Below are 14,386 nucleotides of genomic sequence, written 5' to 3' on the forward strand. Positions count from 1 at the left end.
CTTTGGAGCAACTGAGAAGCAAACAACCCGCCACGTAGCTTACCCTTTCAACGCTGCGCCTTCTCAGAGATCCATAAGGAATTTTCAGTAAAAGTCTTTGGGATCTATTCGGAGCCACTGCAGCCTGAACCACCATGGTGTACAGCTGTGTGTGTGTGTGTGTGTGTGTGTGTGTGTGTGTGTGTGTGTGTGTGTTCCCAGCAAAGGGAGAGAAGGAGCCTCCCTCAAAAATAAGTTATGGTCTCCTGGAGGGTTCCCAAATATCAAATAACTGAAAGAGTTTTTCTTTCGACCATCTGAGTCAAGATGTGGTTTGTCAGGAGGAGGGGGGATGGGAAGAAAGAAAACCAGCCCAAGTTCTGCAACTTCAGCGCCCACGAAGCAGCATCTCTAGCTTTCTTCCATCTGTCCCTCTGCACAGCTGGCTCAGCGAGACTGCCGTGTCCCGCTTGTGGGCAAGTGACGCGTCTGGGGAGAGTGATCCAGAAATGTCAACTTTGCTTCTCGTGGCTGCAGATGGTAATCAGGTCAGTTGTCTAATCAAAGCTCTATCAGACGTATTATTCATTCCATCACGTGACTCCCAAGCCCCTCGGCCGTACAGTAGGTCACATGCTCACCTTAAAAAGACTATTTGGAATATCACCATCTGGAGTGGAGATTAATGCAGAATCCTACACTCTGATTTCACTCCCTTCTGAACGGAGGAACAATATCTGAAGACCACAGACAGAACACATCAGGGACCTCTTTGAAATCATAAATTCTATCTATAAAACTGAGCATCAGACATGCGTATCTGTTTACCCTTCCTGCTTTCTAACGCATAAAAATAAACGCACGGGTATTACTCACTGTATATGTGAATACAGTCCACAGAGAGAAAGTATGAGGGAAAGAAGAAGAAACTGTTGCAATCACATGGTTCAGATGAATCAAATCAAATCGAACAGGCTTGTGTTTGGCACCTTCTCATTTAAATGTTTGTGTTATAGAACATTTATTTTTACGTGTGCCAGTAAACAAGAAGAAATTATGTTTCGTTTTACACGGCTGTGTCGAAGCAGATTCATCCATCACGTCTGTCAATTATTTTCTGATCATATTGTGTAATTTCAGATCACACAGCCTTCTTTGATGGATGGCATAAATGGTCTCAAACGTTAACTTTTCTGTAATATTTTCCCCTACCTTCCCCATCTCTACTCCTCCTGAAATCGGCTTATTTCCATAGCAGAAAAAATTACTACAAAGAAAATCAAGTAAGGTGCTTCCAGGATATGGGGTATGTTTGGGTTTTTTTTTTCTTTTTCTTTTTAAAGCATTTCTACATACACTGCTTCTGTCTGTTCTGAGTTTTATGAAAGGGATGGCCATTTCCTTTGTAATCATCCCGTGGTTTTTGGTATTAGCCTTGATACCACTCATACGCTCTGGGCACCAGCTTTGAGACACTGTCTGCAGACCAGTGTGCTTACTTCATTGAAAATGACGGAAATGAAGGTTCTGTTTATTCAAACACACCTAATAGGAAATGGGGGTGGGGTGCGAAGGAAAGAAGCAGAGTTTTGTACTATGAGAAAATGAATCAGAAGAAAGAGGCGAAGGGTGCCACGGCGGCGGCAGCAGCGCACGGGCTGGAAACCTGGGTTCAGCCCTCCAGCGCAGACACACATCACGAGTCAGTTAAAGAAAGCATCAGGTTGATGTGGGAAATTCCAAATATACAACAATTGGGCTTTGTTCGTAATTGGTTCCATGTGTGCAGTAGGAGAGTCAGTGAGAGGGTGAGAGAGACGGGGAGACGGAAACCTCTTAACCACGGCTCACACGGCGTCTTTGGTGAGGTGGTTTAGGTTTACATCTCTTTTTTCTCTCTTTCTTGCTTCTTGCCTGCACTGCCTGGTTTCAGAGCATTGGCGGGGGGTGGGAAAAAATCTGGAACGATACCCGATGATTGAGCCAAAGCAAGAGAAACTCATTTCTTTGTAAAACTGCACTTGACGTTGTAACGGTTTTGAACAAAGGATAGGCACACTTTCAGAACACTTTATCTGTTGAGAGTCACGGCATGTCATTCTTCCAGCTCAGTTTTGGGGTCGGTGGGGGGGACAATGATGAGATGGACTGAGAAGCCACTGTCCTCTTCTCTGACCCAGGCCAGGGCAAAGCCCCGGGGAGCTGAATTTATTTACATTTGACTAAATGCAACTTCCTGTTTCCCAGGGGTATTAATGAGTGTTTCACTGTGGAGCTTAGGCTTATGGCATAGTTCAGATCATAAGGGACATTTTGATGAACTAAGTGCAAATAAAACAAAAACACATGCATTTGATTAAGGTTAAAATACATATAGAAGAGAATGTTAATGGTAACAAAAATAACCCTGGGCCAGACTCCCACACATCTGAGTCTCACACATTCCACATCCTTCCCTTGGGAGGCGGGGAGAAGGATCACTTTTCATATTAGCACAAAAGCCTCCTCCCAGATAATGGAGCCCTCCCCAGTCCCCGCGGAGTAGGTGACCCCCTCCTTGGAGTGATTTCAAGGCTCTCAAAGGTTGCTGGTCCAAAAATATCTTTCTGATTGTCTTGCCATGGGTGTCGGAGACTTACATATTCAAAATTAATTGTCGAGTTTAGGTCTTTTTTTTTTTTTTTTTTTTTTTTAAATAGAGACAGGGTCTCACTATATTGCTCAGGGTGGTCTTGAACTCCTGGGCTCAAGCAATCTCCTCGCTTCGGCCCCCCAAAGTGCTAGGATTACAGGCATGAGCCACCATGCCTGGCCAAGTATTTCTTTCCATTGTTAGAATACAAATATGTTTCCCCGGAAGGGATATGCATTCATACTCTCACAGTTATGACCACTTTAGGAGAAGCAAGGGGAATGAATGTTCACTGAGCACCTACCCATTGGCAGGCCATGTGCTGTGAGGTTATCAAAGGCTACTTCCATGGAGGAAATGCGTTTCATTATCCCTGTTTCAGTGGTGAAGAAACTGGTGCTCAGAGGGGCTTAGTAAGTTGGCCAAGGCAGCACAGCTAGAAATGTCAGAGCTAGGATGAAAACCAAAGTCAACTGGTGTGATTTCAGGGCCCAGCTTGCCTGTCCTACAGGACTTTATCAGATTACAGCAGTTTGGAAATCCCAAAGGAAGATACATCCATTGAACCCAACAGGAAAATGGAAAACTCTGTCTTTGAAAAGAAGAGAATGTCAATATAGGAAATTGTTAGATTGAGCAATTTTAGAGTTTCTGGAGCTGCTGCTTTGATGTCACCAGGAGTTGGGCACAGGGGACGGAGGGGCTAAGAACCACAAAGGGGGAGGCAGGGAGGCTGGCCTAAGGGGTCAAGGGAGGAGCCGAGTTATTAGAGCCAGGGGCCAGGTCACCTAGTGGAGTCTAGAACCTTGGAGACCCATCCAGTGGGAGACTCAGCCGCTGCTGAAGCCTTCATCCATGGTCAAGGGGAGGTGAGGAGAAATGCCTGGCCCTTCTTTCCATCTGCCTTCCAATCTCCTGGCAGCATCTTCCAGCCAGTTGAAAGGGAACTGTGGAAATAGCCATATAGGCAGGGCAGGGAAAGGGAGAGCCATAGATCTGAGTATATGTGGCTCTGGGCCAGCCCTGAGGGACCGAGACATTGGACCAAAGGAATGGGAAATGGTGAATTAAGGGTGAACTGAAAAGAACAGCAAGAGAAGGCGGGACACGGTGGCTCATGCCTGTAATCCCAGCACTTTGGGACTCAGAGGTAGGTGGATCACCTGAGGTCAGGAGTTCAAGACCAGCCTGGCCAACATAGTGAAACCCCGTCTCTACTAAGAACACAAACATTAGCTGGGCATGGTGGTGGGCACCTGTCATCCCAGCTACTTGGGAGGCTGAGGCAGGAGGATGGCTTGAACCTGGGAGGTGGAGGTTGTAGCGAGCTGAGATTGCACCACTGCACTCCAGCCTGGGAGGCAGACAGCATGAGACTCTGTCTCAAAGGAAAAAAAAAAAAAAAGAACAGCAAGAGGAAAACCTATGGAACAATATTACATAGAAAGAGCAGGTTGTTGTCAGGATAGTGGATGACACGGTACCCTCAGCATCCAGGAATGGCCTAATGGCTGCTGGATGTGGGGTGGGAGTTGAGGGGGGAAAGATGCCTCAGGGATGGGGGGCAGTCAACAAACTGTGTGCAGGAGAGGGAGATGTAGAAGACACTCTTCAGTTCTAGACTCTCCGAAGCTGCTGCTTTTGATGCCTCAGGGAGCAGCACACTTAAGGCTGGCAAAGCCTTTTGTTTGTTTGCTTTGAACATTTCCTTCCAGTCTCAATGAAAATGTTTGCATTAAAACCCTGGAAGGAAAATGCATAGGAATCCATTGAGCCAGGTTTCAGGAAAGTCAATGGTCTTGACATGCCACAGCAAGATGTATCAAAGCAAATGGGTGTTCTTGGTCACGAACAGCAGGGTGTGAAAGGGGTGGCGGGAATGGGGGGAATGTTCCATTGGAGAGAGAACATTTTGCAGTGTTGGTGATAATGGAGGCAGCAGCAGGAGGGGGAAGAGTCTGCCGAGCCAACGTGTATGCACGGTCACAGGAGCAGACTCATAGATGAAGCCAGTGCCCGCGCGGATGCATGCTGAAAAGCCACGTGAAGGGTAAATGATCTCCTGATGGAATCCTGGGTGCTGGCACGGACATGCAGCCTGGTCATTGCAGCCCAGGGTGATCCTGATGAGCCGGCCTCAACTATTTGTCCAATCTTTTGCCCAGTGCCTGAAATTACCACTAGTGAGGCTGGCCTGTCTGTCCCCTGGAAGTCCACTCACATGTGCATCTGACCTCAGAACTGCCACTTGCTGGCACTAAATAAACTCATTTTCATTGCTTTATTTTGTTCATTTGGCAGAATACTGAAAGGACAGGCCACAGGACAGACAGGTTTCAGCTGGGGACGTGACTGAGGTCACACTGTATAATAGATGCTGTCGTGACACTCCCAGGGCAGAAGGCAGGCTGAGGCCACCATGAGCCCCAGCAGAAGGGGCAAAGGATGGTGAGCTGGAGAAAGAGATGGGAAGGTGACCTAAGGGGCCTTTCTGATTTTGTTCCTTATCATTCTTTCCTTTGCAAAAAAGGCGAAATACCACTTACATGAAGGAAACAGAAACAATCCAAGGCTGACATTGTAAATATCTGTCCTAACCTCCATCTTGAGCCATACTTCCTTGTAACATCTTGCAGGGTATTAAAAGCGGGCTCTTTCTCAGTGTCGTTTGAGGGCTCCAGGCAATAGATGGCAACTATTCCCACCCTCTCCCACACGCCACTCAAGGAGTTAGGCCTCTAAGCAGGACATGCACAAGGGGTGTCTGAGAAGCAGGTTTGAAATCCCTCAATGACCTCACCTCCAGGCTGTAGGAGGAGGGAGAGGGAAACAAAAGAGGGGTGTGGGGCTCAGGGAAAGAGAGGTGCCTGAAATGGCTTATTGGAAGAGAGACATCTCTTGGACCAGGGAATTGCAGAGATAAATCCCCAGAGATCCCCAGCAAAAAACCCACAAGGCACCCTGCAAGGACAAGAGGTGGGCTTAAACACCCATTAGTCCCAGAGAAAACCATGGCCAGCCCAGCCAGGCAGGGTGACTCATGCCTGTAATCCCAGCACTTTGGGAGGCTGAGGCAGGTGGATCCCCTGAGGTCGGGAGTTCAAGACGAGCCTGACCAACATGGAGAAACCCCGTCTCTACCAAAAATACAAAATTAGCCAGGTGTGGTGGTGCATCCCTGTAATCCCAGTTACTCGGGAGGCTGAGGCAGGAGAATCACTTGAGCCTGGGAGGCGGAGGTTGCAGTGAGCCGAGATTGTGCCATTGCACTCCAGCCTGGGCAACAAGAGAGAAACTCCATTTCAAAACAAAAACAAACAAACAAAAAACCCAAAGTCCAAGGCCAGCCCATGACAGCTCAGGCATGAAAGCTCCCTGCTAGGCCCTGGCCTCTGGTCCACTTCAGCCCTGGACGGGTGAAGACAGCGCAGTGAGTATCGGGGAGGTGGGTGGGGATGCAGGGGAAGGATTTGGAGGTGGAGACACACACCCATGGTTCCCACTGCAGCCATCACCCGAACCTGCCCCCAGCTGGGGGATGGGAGAAACCGTCGCTTTGATGGAAGTTGGTGTTGTAATTATTGTCATGTGAAGAAGAGAAGAGGAGCAATAGGATGAAATTGAACCAAAACACACGCAAGAAGAAAACATATTCTTCCTAATACCCTGACTCGATTATTACACATTCTATGCATGTAACAAAATATCACACGCCCCCCATTAATATGTACGTGTATTATATATCAATACAAAAATGAAAAATAGCTGAATCTTCAAAAAGTACATTCTTAAAAGACTTGGAAAATTCCTAGAGCAGGAGGGGGGAGTTTGGAAGGGAAACCCTGTGTTTCTTCAACATTCCATCTCCATCCCATTACCTCCCCACCCAGCTATAGCCTAGGTAATTCATGTCACGTCTCATTAGAGGAAGCTGGGACTGAGGTTAGACAAACAGAAAGGCTGCCTACATCCATAATTTTCTGTTTGAAAACTGGCTGGAATTTAGGCCAAACATGAAACCCAATATCCGTAAGAACAGGACCAAGACATCAAGCAACACTCCTATCACCAGACCTCACATGCCCAGGGGCTGCGAGATTATCTCCAGCTCACCAGTGTGGGAAAGCTTTCTCTTGGTTTTACCTACGGTTTGCTCTGACACAGTGCGCTGTTTGCAGTATCTGTCTTTGGACAGACTTTTCCTCCTCCTGTGCCATTTGGAAGACTCTAGGCAGAATTGTAGCTAGCTAGGGTGGGCAGATACATTTTTCCCTCCCTCCCTCCCTTCCTTCCTTTCCTTACTTCTTCCTTTCTTCTTCCTTCTTTCCTTCCTTCCTTCCCTCCCTCCCTTCCTTTCATCCTTTCTTATCTCCTTCCTTCCTCCCTCCCTCCCTTCCTTCCTTCCTCCCTCCCTTCCTTTCTTCCTTCCTTTTCTTCTGTCCTTCCTTCTCTCTCTCTCTTTCCCTCCCTCCCACCCTTCCTTTCATCCTTTCTTCTCTTCCCTTTCTCCTTCCTTCCTTCCTTTCTTCTTTCCTTCCTTTTCTTCTGTCCCTCCCTCCCTCCCACCCTTCCTTTAATCTTTTCTTCCCTTCCCTTTCTCCTTCCTTCCCTCCCTCCCTCCCTCCCTTCCTTCCTTTCCTTCCTTTCTTCCTTCCTTCCCTCCCTCCCTTCCTTTCATCCTTTCTTCCCTTCCTCTTCTCTCCTTGCTTCCTCTCTTTCTTCCCTTCCCTTTTCTCCTTCCTTCCTTCCTTTTTCTCTTCCCCTCCCCTCGCCTCCCCTCCTTCCCCTTCCCTTCCTTGACTCTCTCTTCCTTCCCTTGCCTTGCTGGACTGCAGTCTAGGCTTCATTTAATACTTGTCCTCCATGAGCAGACAGGCAAATGAGATAAAGGATGTTTAGACTGAATTGTGCAGTTTGACTCCTGCTTATCCTTGCTGTGGGAGAGGGTGTGGTGTTCTAGGATAAGTGGTCAACTCCTCGCTTCTGCCATGACACTGCCCATGCTCTTCTTGTATTCTGTACCAAGCTCCATGATACTGGCTTCATCCTTGTCTAAATGAATTGTATTATTTTCATTTATTGCTTATGTTACATCATTCATTCAACCATTATTTTATTGAGTGTCTAATAAAATAAGGCAATTCTCTTATACGGCATATTCTATTACAGGCACTATTCTAAAGTTTTAAAATATATAATTTAGTTAGTTCTCATGACACTTTATCAAATAGGTACTCTTATTTTCCCTGGATGAAGACAAAAGGACTGAGGTACAGAGACTGAAGTAACTCACTCAGGGTCACAATGAGAGGCTCCAGTGTCCATTGACCGCCTCCCTCTTCTGTGTCACTACAACGGATCAAGTGCTGAGCCAAGAACTGGGGATGCAAGATAACTTTTGCTTATTGGAAGAGTTTTCTTTTGTTCCTCAAACTCAGCTCCTCTCTGTGATGAGGCGTCTGTGGTGAAGTGAAAGACTGCTGGCCTTAGCCCTGAGTCTGCATGTGAAAATGTCATCACAAGGGGAAGTAGACCTGGCCCTCTTCCAGGGCAGGGAGGAAAACGCAGCCTGTGCTGCATGGGAACTTCACGTGCTAATTGGACATCCCAGAATCTCACTAAATCTTTATCATAGCAAGCATCAATCACTCAATCTTCATCATAGCGAGCATCAGTCATAGAGAATGTCAAGTCTGCTGAACACCTACCCAACAGGATGAAACAATGTTTGTGAAAGTTCTTTGTAAACAAGACGTGTGCACCTTCCCTTTTCTTCCAGTCTCAATTCTGCACACGGTTTTCCTGTTGTCTCATTTGCCACAACAGCCTCCTGCACTTCACCGTCTAGCCATCTGCCTCTTCCTGTCTGTTCTGCTATAAGGTCCACGTTTCATCTGCCTGAATTCCTTAAAGGCCATCCGGCTTAGCCACCTATTTTGAGTGGTAAACAGACTTCTTCTTGAACCTTTGAGAGCTCCCTGTTTAGTAGATTTCATTTGAGTAACTATGAGTACAGAATTAATTCACCCAGGTTAAGACCCCCTATCCCCATCAAATGAAAATCACACATGACAAAGGAAGCTAGACCTTATCCTCTTGCAGGGCAGGGAGGAAAATGCACCATCTGCTGCATGGAAACCTCATGTGAAAATCAGGTGTCCCAGGATCTCACTCGATCTTTCTGGCAAGGATCTAGCCATAGAGAATGTCAAATATGAATGACCCATGTGGAAGATTTGTCGGTATCTGTGTCAGAAGGCCTTGCCTTATGGACATCAAGGACAAGGCCCATCAGCATCCTTGCAGGCTGTTCAGCTCGTCATCCACAGACAGAGATCTTGCTCACAAGCTGCAGATGGATTTTATGCCTCCACACGAAGGTCCTTCACATCTGGTCTTGATATGATTTGTCCCCAAAAGAACTCCACTTGCCCTTCCCAGCATGAGGCCAAATCAGGTCATCAGTGGCTATAGCCTGGCTAAAGGCTATTCTACATGGTAGTAATGGCTTATTGTGTGTGCTATTAGGAGTGATGTCATGCCCAGGGTTTGAGGAATAACGCTCCTGCAAGATGGCCATGTGATTAAACGGGTAATAAGCTGACCTCTGTGAAGCTGGCTGTGTAGATTGGCTTTCAAGATCATTTTGCAAAGCCCGTTTTCATGTGCTGTCAGTCGTGGATGGATTTTGATAACTAGCATTGATTTGCCATGTTTATGAAGTGCAGTTTCACAGGGTAAACTGTGTAATTGCACCTGGAATGGCAATATAAATAACGTCCTTATCTATGGTATTGACTGCCCAGGATTCGCTGAATATATATAGCATACCTCCAAACAGAGCCAATAGCTGTTGACTCAATTTTTACTAGGCTTAGCTCTCAAATTTCAGGTGTCTTAATAAGGATTGGGTGGCGAATGATCAACTTTTACATCTGTTTCTAATTTCCATGCTTCCTTTTCCAGGAGGAGAAATTTAACAAGCAATTTTCTTCAACAGGGGAATAGTTCATCTTGGTTCAAGTAATCCCTCTGGTGCTGCAAAGGACAATGGCTTTCTTTAGGGCCATCAGATTCCTTTCGCTCCTGTGCCCAGGGACATATCACTCCCAGGGTCAACTGTCCATTTGCTCATGGACATCTGGGATGAGTCACGTGGTATATTTTCCCAAAGTGAGGAAGGAAGAAAAGAAAGCATCTTGAATCTGTTAGAAAGACAGTCTCTTTGAAGCCTCATGTCATGGGAATATGGTTTATGTTGAATGTGTTCTAGAGTATACCCAACATCCTGTAAATCAAAACACCAAAGTGCAAGCTGTGACCAGAATGGGTAAAACACCTCCAGTGGACAAATCCTTAGAGGTAGATGAGGATGAGTAGGGGATTCTAACTGCTCTTGCTTGCTGGGGGTACTCCATTCTAAGAATTTTAAACCTCTATGGCACGAATGCAGTTAATAGACTGTTGACATGAAAATTACATGAGATAGCACAGTTCTGTCTGTGAGAACAAGGGTGGTAAGAAATGACATTAAGGCAGCTGGGTGCAGTGGCTCACATCTGTAATCCCAGCACTTTGGAAGGCCGAGGCAGGCAGATCAGAAGGTCAGAAGATCATAGACCATCCTGGCTAACATGGTGAAACCCCGTCTCTACTAAAAATACAAAAAAAAAAAAAAATTAGCCGGGCATGGTGGCAGGCGTCTGTAGTCCCAGCTACTCAGGAGGCTGAGGCAGGAGAATGGTGTGAACCCGGGAGGCAGAGGTTGCAGTGAGCCGAGGTCGTGCCACTGCACTCCAGCCTGGGCGACAATGCAAGACTCCATCTCAAAAAAAAAAAAAAAAAAAAAAAAATGACATTAAGGCAAGATTCTGACTTGCATACTATAGAACAATATATTTTAGATCTCATTCCATGAGCAAGGGGGAGCCATTTTAAGTTACTTTTAGGGAGGAAGTGACACCATCCAATCTGAGTTTTGGGGACTTGATTGATAAAAGATGAATGGTAGAATGAAGAACCAAGGTATATTGGAGGCCAAGAGAGCAGGTACAAGATTATTGCAATTGTCCAAATGAGAAATGATTAAGTGCAGAACTAGGACATTGTTCTTTTACAATTTCTATTCTGACAGACTACAGGAAGGATGGTCCTATTAGTCAAAATAAATGCACAGGAAGAGGGGAAGATTTGGGGAGATGATAATGAGTAGCTCGGGGCATGCAGAGCTTCTGATGCCTGAACATTTTGACCTGGAACTTAGGAGAAGAGTCAAGCCTGTAAATGCAGCTCTGGATTTCAACAAGAGAATACCGATCACTAGATAAGTTATTAGTTAAGTGTGAGGGCAGACATTCAATAACACGCACATTTACTTCTCATGCACCTTTACTGGAAGATGTCTCCAGCAGAAGAATGTTAGAAGGGAATATGAATTCCAGGAAAAGGATTGATCACAGGAGAGGTACCAAGGGAGTTCCCAGAATAATAGAAAAGAGGATCCTCAAGAAGACAGTCACGCAAGAGACCAAGAGAAGAGCTAATCCAATTGATGCAGGAGGAAGTAGAGCTTCAGAAAGAATGTCTCAAAAAAGAAAAAAAAAGAAAGGAGTGGGTTAAGTATCTGATGAATTTACCAAATTGAGAGGAGTTACATAGCTCTATTGAAAATCTTAGATAAAAATGATTGATAAATACATAGAACATAAAGCAAACACTGAAATAAGGCAATTATCAACTCCAGGAAAAACATAAAGTTGTAAAATCCAAGACATGCCATCATAATGTATAACATTTCTCAGATGTAAATAATATTTTAATATTCATAATAAAACTGAATTTTGATTTAAGCTGTGATGCCAATATATTCAGTAGACAGAGGGGGAAGAGACACATGTGTTTATAGGGAAAGAGACTCATAAGTTGGCAGGAAAGGACTGGAGCCTGGGTTTTTCTTTCTAAGCCTTCTAGTACTCTTCAGCTTTCAAATGTTATGAATATTGCCATGTACACATATTATTTTGATAAAAATAAAAATTAAATTATAAACAGAAGGATCAATATAAACAGGGGATTTGAGCCAGATCAGATGGACAGTGATGGGGCTGATGCCTTTGAGAACGTGCCCATGCAATGTCAGTAGCAGAAGTAGGGCTGTGGAGGGTGACCTAGAACCACAGGCCTCTTTCTGAAAGGACAGATTTGAGTCTGATACTGGGTTATTTAATCCAATGAGAAATGTTTCAGGAAACCTGCTTGATTTCCTCTGTTTCTTTTTTTCCTTTGGGGTGCGTTGTGGGGCTCCTCATCTATGGACCTGCTGTTGGAATGGCTGCTGAATGCATAGCCTCCAAGGTATGCCTCGGAGAGAAGCATTTTAAATCTTCTGAAACGAGATGCAGACAGACAAAACGAAACAGGACAAAGACGTCACTGAGGGCACTGCCAACACTTCTGGAGCTTGTCCTGAAGAGCCATTCGTGTGCTTGGACTGATCTCCCGTCTTGTGCTCTTGGCATTGGTGCAGGATCCTGCATGTACATTTGCAGGTGCGAGCTTGTGCACGCGAACATGTGTGCTGCTTCCTCTCACGAACCCAGCAGCATAGCAGCAGCCAGAGACGCCCCAGAGTGATGACAACTAATTATGAAACACCAGTCTGATCTGTCCCTTTTATCTCATCTTGCAGAAGCCTTGCATTCCCCCAAAGCCCCCCAGTGGCCCTTTGTAATCCCAGAAAAGAAGTGTCAATATGGAAACAGCTGTTCTTGAGATAGTGGGATGACAGCCTAATGAGCATGCCATCAGCTATAGAGGAAACCCAAGGCTAATGGGCTTCTGATGCAAATATTCTTTCTAGACCATCCCACTCATATGAGAAAGGCTACAGTCCCCAGCAAGACTGGGAGAGGACACACTGGCCTATAGATGTCAAGTCTTCTTTTGTTCTTATTTAGGTTTTTAGCCTCTCAAACCCCATGGGGCATCAGGCAATCTCCCTGACTCCTCTGGAAGGTGACTGGAAAAAAGGCAGCCCCAATTTTTTTTTTTGTTTTGTTTAGAGGCCATGCTAGGGAAGCCAGCAGGAGCACAGGGCTCCTGCAATTTTGGTAGCAGGAGAAACAGCCACAGGTTGCTGTGGTTCAGGCAGGGAGTGAAGGCTGTGCTTAGAAAGAACCCAAATTCCCAATCATTCAAGGGGGAAAGGTTAGGGAGAAATAGTGGGAGAGAGCTGTAGAGGTGGAGGAAAGGGGGATGATGGATTGCAGCAGGCGACTTAAAACAGATGCCTTTTCTAGGGGCAAGGCAAGGGATGAAGAGAACTGACCTACCATGTGCCTCCTTGGCATCAGACACACCCCTGGACACTTGCTCTATGTCACCTCTTCTGAATCTTCACCATGATCCTGTAAGCCGGGTAGCATTAGCTGCACTGTATTGATAAGGAAACTGAAGCTCACAAAGACGAAATGCTTGCCAACAATCTCACATCTAGGAAGTGGTACCAAGCTGGGATTGAGACTTGAGCCCATGAGACTTTAAAGCTCCCTCTCAATTTTCTTTGGGGATGTGTATATAGGTGGGGAAGCTATACAGAAAATAAAAAAAATCTTTATATAAAAGCTGGGGGGTCCAGACATGGTGGCTCACACCTGTAATAATCCTAGCACTTTCGGGGCTGAAGCAAAATGTTTGCTTGAACCCAGACATTCAAGACAAGCCTGGGCAATATAACAAGACCTCATCTCCACAAAAATAAAAAAAAAAAATAATAAAAAAAACAGCTGGGCATGGTGGCTTATACCTGTAGTCCCACCTACTTGGGAGGCTGAGGTGGGAGGATTGTTTGAGCCCAGGAGGTCGAGGCTGCAGTGAGCCAACATCATGTCACCACACTCCAGCCTGGGGGATAGAGGGAGACCCTGACTCAAATAAATACATAAATACAATAAAATAAAAATAAATAAATAAAAACTGGGGGAGGGTTCTGTTTCCCTCTGGGGGAGGGAGAGAATTTTAATCTAGAGGGGATACTCAGAGACTCCTGGAGTCCTCACTCACAATATTTCATTTTTAATCTGGGTGGTGGTTACACAGGGTGTTCATGTTGTAAATAATCCTTTAGACTATCCATACATGTTTTATGGACTTTTGTGCACCTCACCGATATCTTACAATAACAAATTACAAACAAAAAAGAGTCCCTATTATTTTTGCATCCAGTGATTTCTTCAGTATATCACCAGAACGGCATCTGAAATGACTGTGTCAGACACCAGAGTACAACCTGGTAAGAAATGCATGCAATCATGAGATTTCTGCGTTTTTTTTTGCATTTTATTGCTCCCAGCAAAAGTTAAATTTTACAATAACAGTAAAAATATACTAGTTAAAACTCAAGCGATTGATATGTATCTATTGAGGTCCTTGTATACAATATTCTAGGTGCCATGGAGGTTACAAAGGTGTCCTTGCCTTTTGGATCTCAGGATCACCTTGAGGAGGAGGCAAGACAGAGACACAGAATGAGAGAATTAACTAAGTGAGGTCAACAAATAATGAGTGGTACAGAGAGGAAGTGCGACAGAAATCCACGTGTCTAAGCTTCGCAGAGGGGAGAGAATTTCATTGAGGCTTGAAGGATGTATGAACTTCAGACAGGTCAAGAGGAAGCAGAATTACAAGCACAAAGACATAGTAATGAGAAGAGGCTCGCTGTCTTGCAGAGACTAATGTTGACCAGTTTGGAGTGGGGAACTCACAATGGGAAATTAT

General features: G+C 45.4%; 1 protein-coding gene across 2 annotated transcripts in view, besides 1 other annotated feature; it reads right to left on the bottom strand.

The window, feature by feature from the left end:
- FRMD4A (FERM domain containing 4A) overlaps positions 1-14,386 on the bottom strand; it is a 687,219-nt gene that overhangs the window by 364,311 nt on the left and 308,522 nt on the right. The window contains exon 1 of one of the 2 annotated variants that reach the window (NM_001318336.2): positions 44-534. The exons of the other annotated variant lie outside the window; for it this stretch is intronic. Within the exon in view, the coding sequence (NP_001305265.1) occupies positions 44-136 (93 nt within the window). The 5' untranslated portion in view covers positions 137-534. Of the gene's footprint in view, positions 1-43; positions 535-14,386 lie in introns of those variants that run through there. 2 annotated transcript variants of the gene reach the window in all.
- Positions 12,274-12,323: an enhancer, noted in NCBI's record as "active region_3068". NCBI's record gives its function as "activates an Ori minimal core promoter by ATAC-STARR-seq in GM12878 lymphoblastoid cells {active_cell/tissue: GM12878}" and the evidence as "EXISTENCE:reporter gene assay evidence [ECO:0000049][PMID:35858748]".

This window comes from Homo sapiens, chromosome 10, assembly GCF_000001405.40.
Source record: "Homo sapiens chromosome 10, GRCh38.p14 Primary Assembly".
Lineage (NCBI taxonomy): Eukaryota > Metazoa > Chordata > Mammalia > Primates > Hominidae > Homo > Homo sapiens.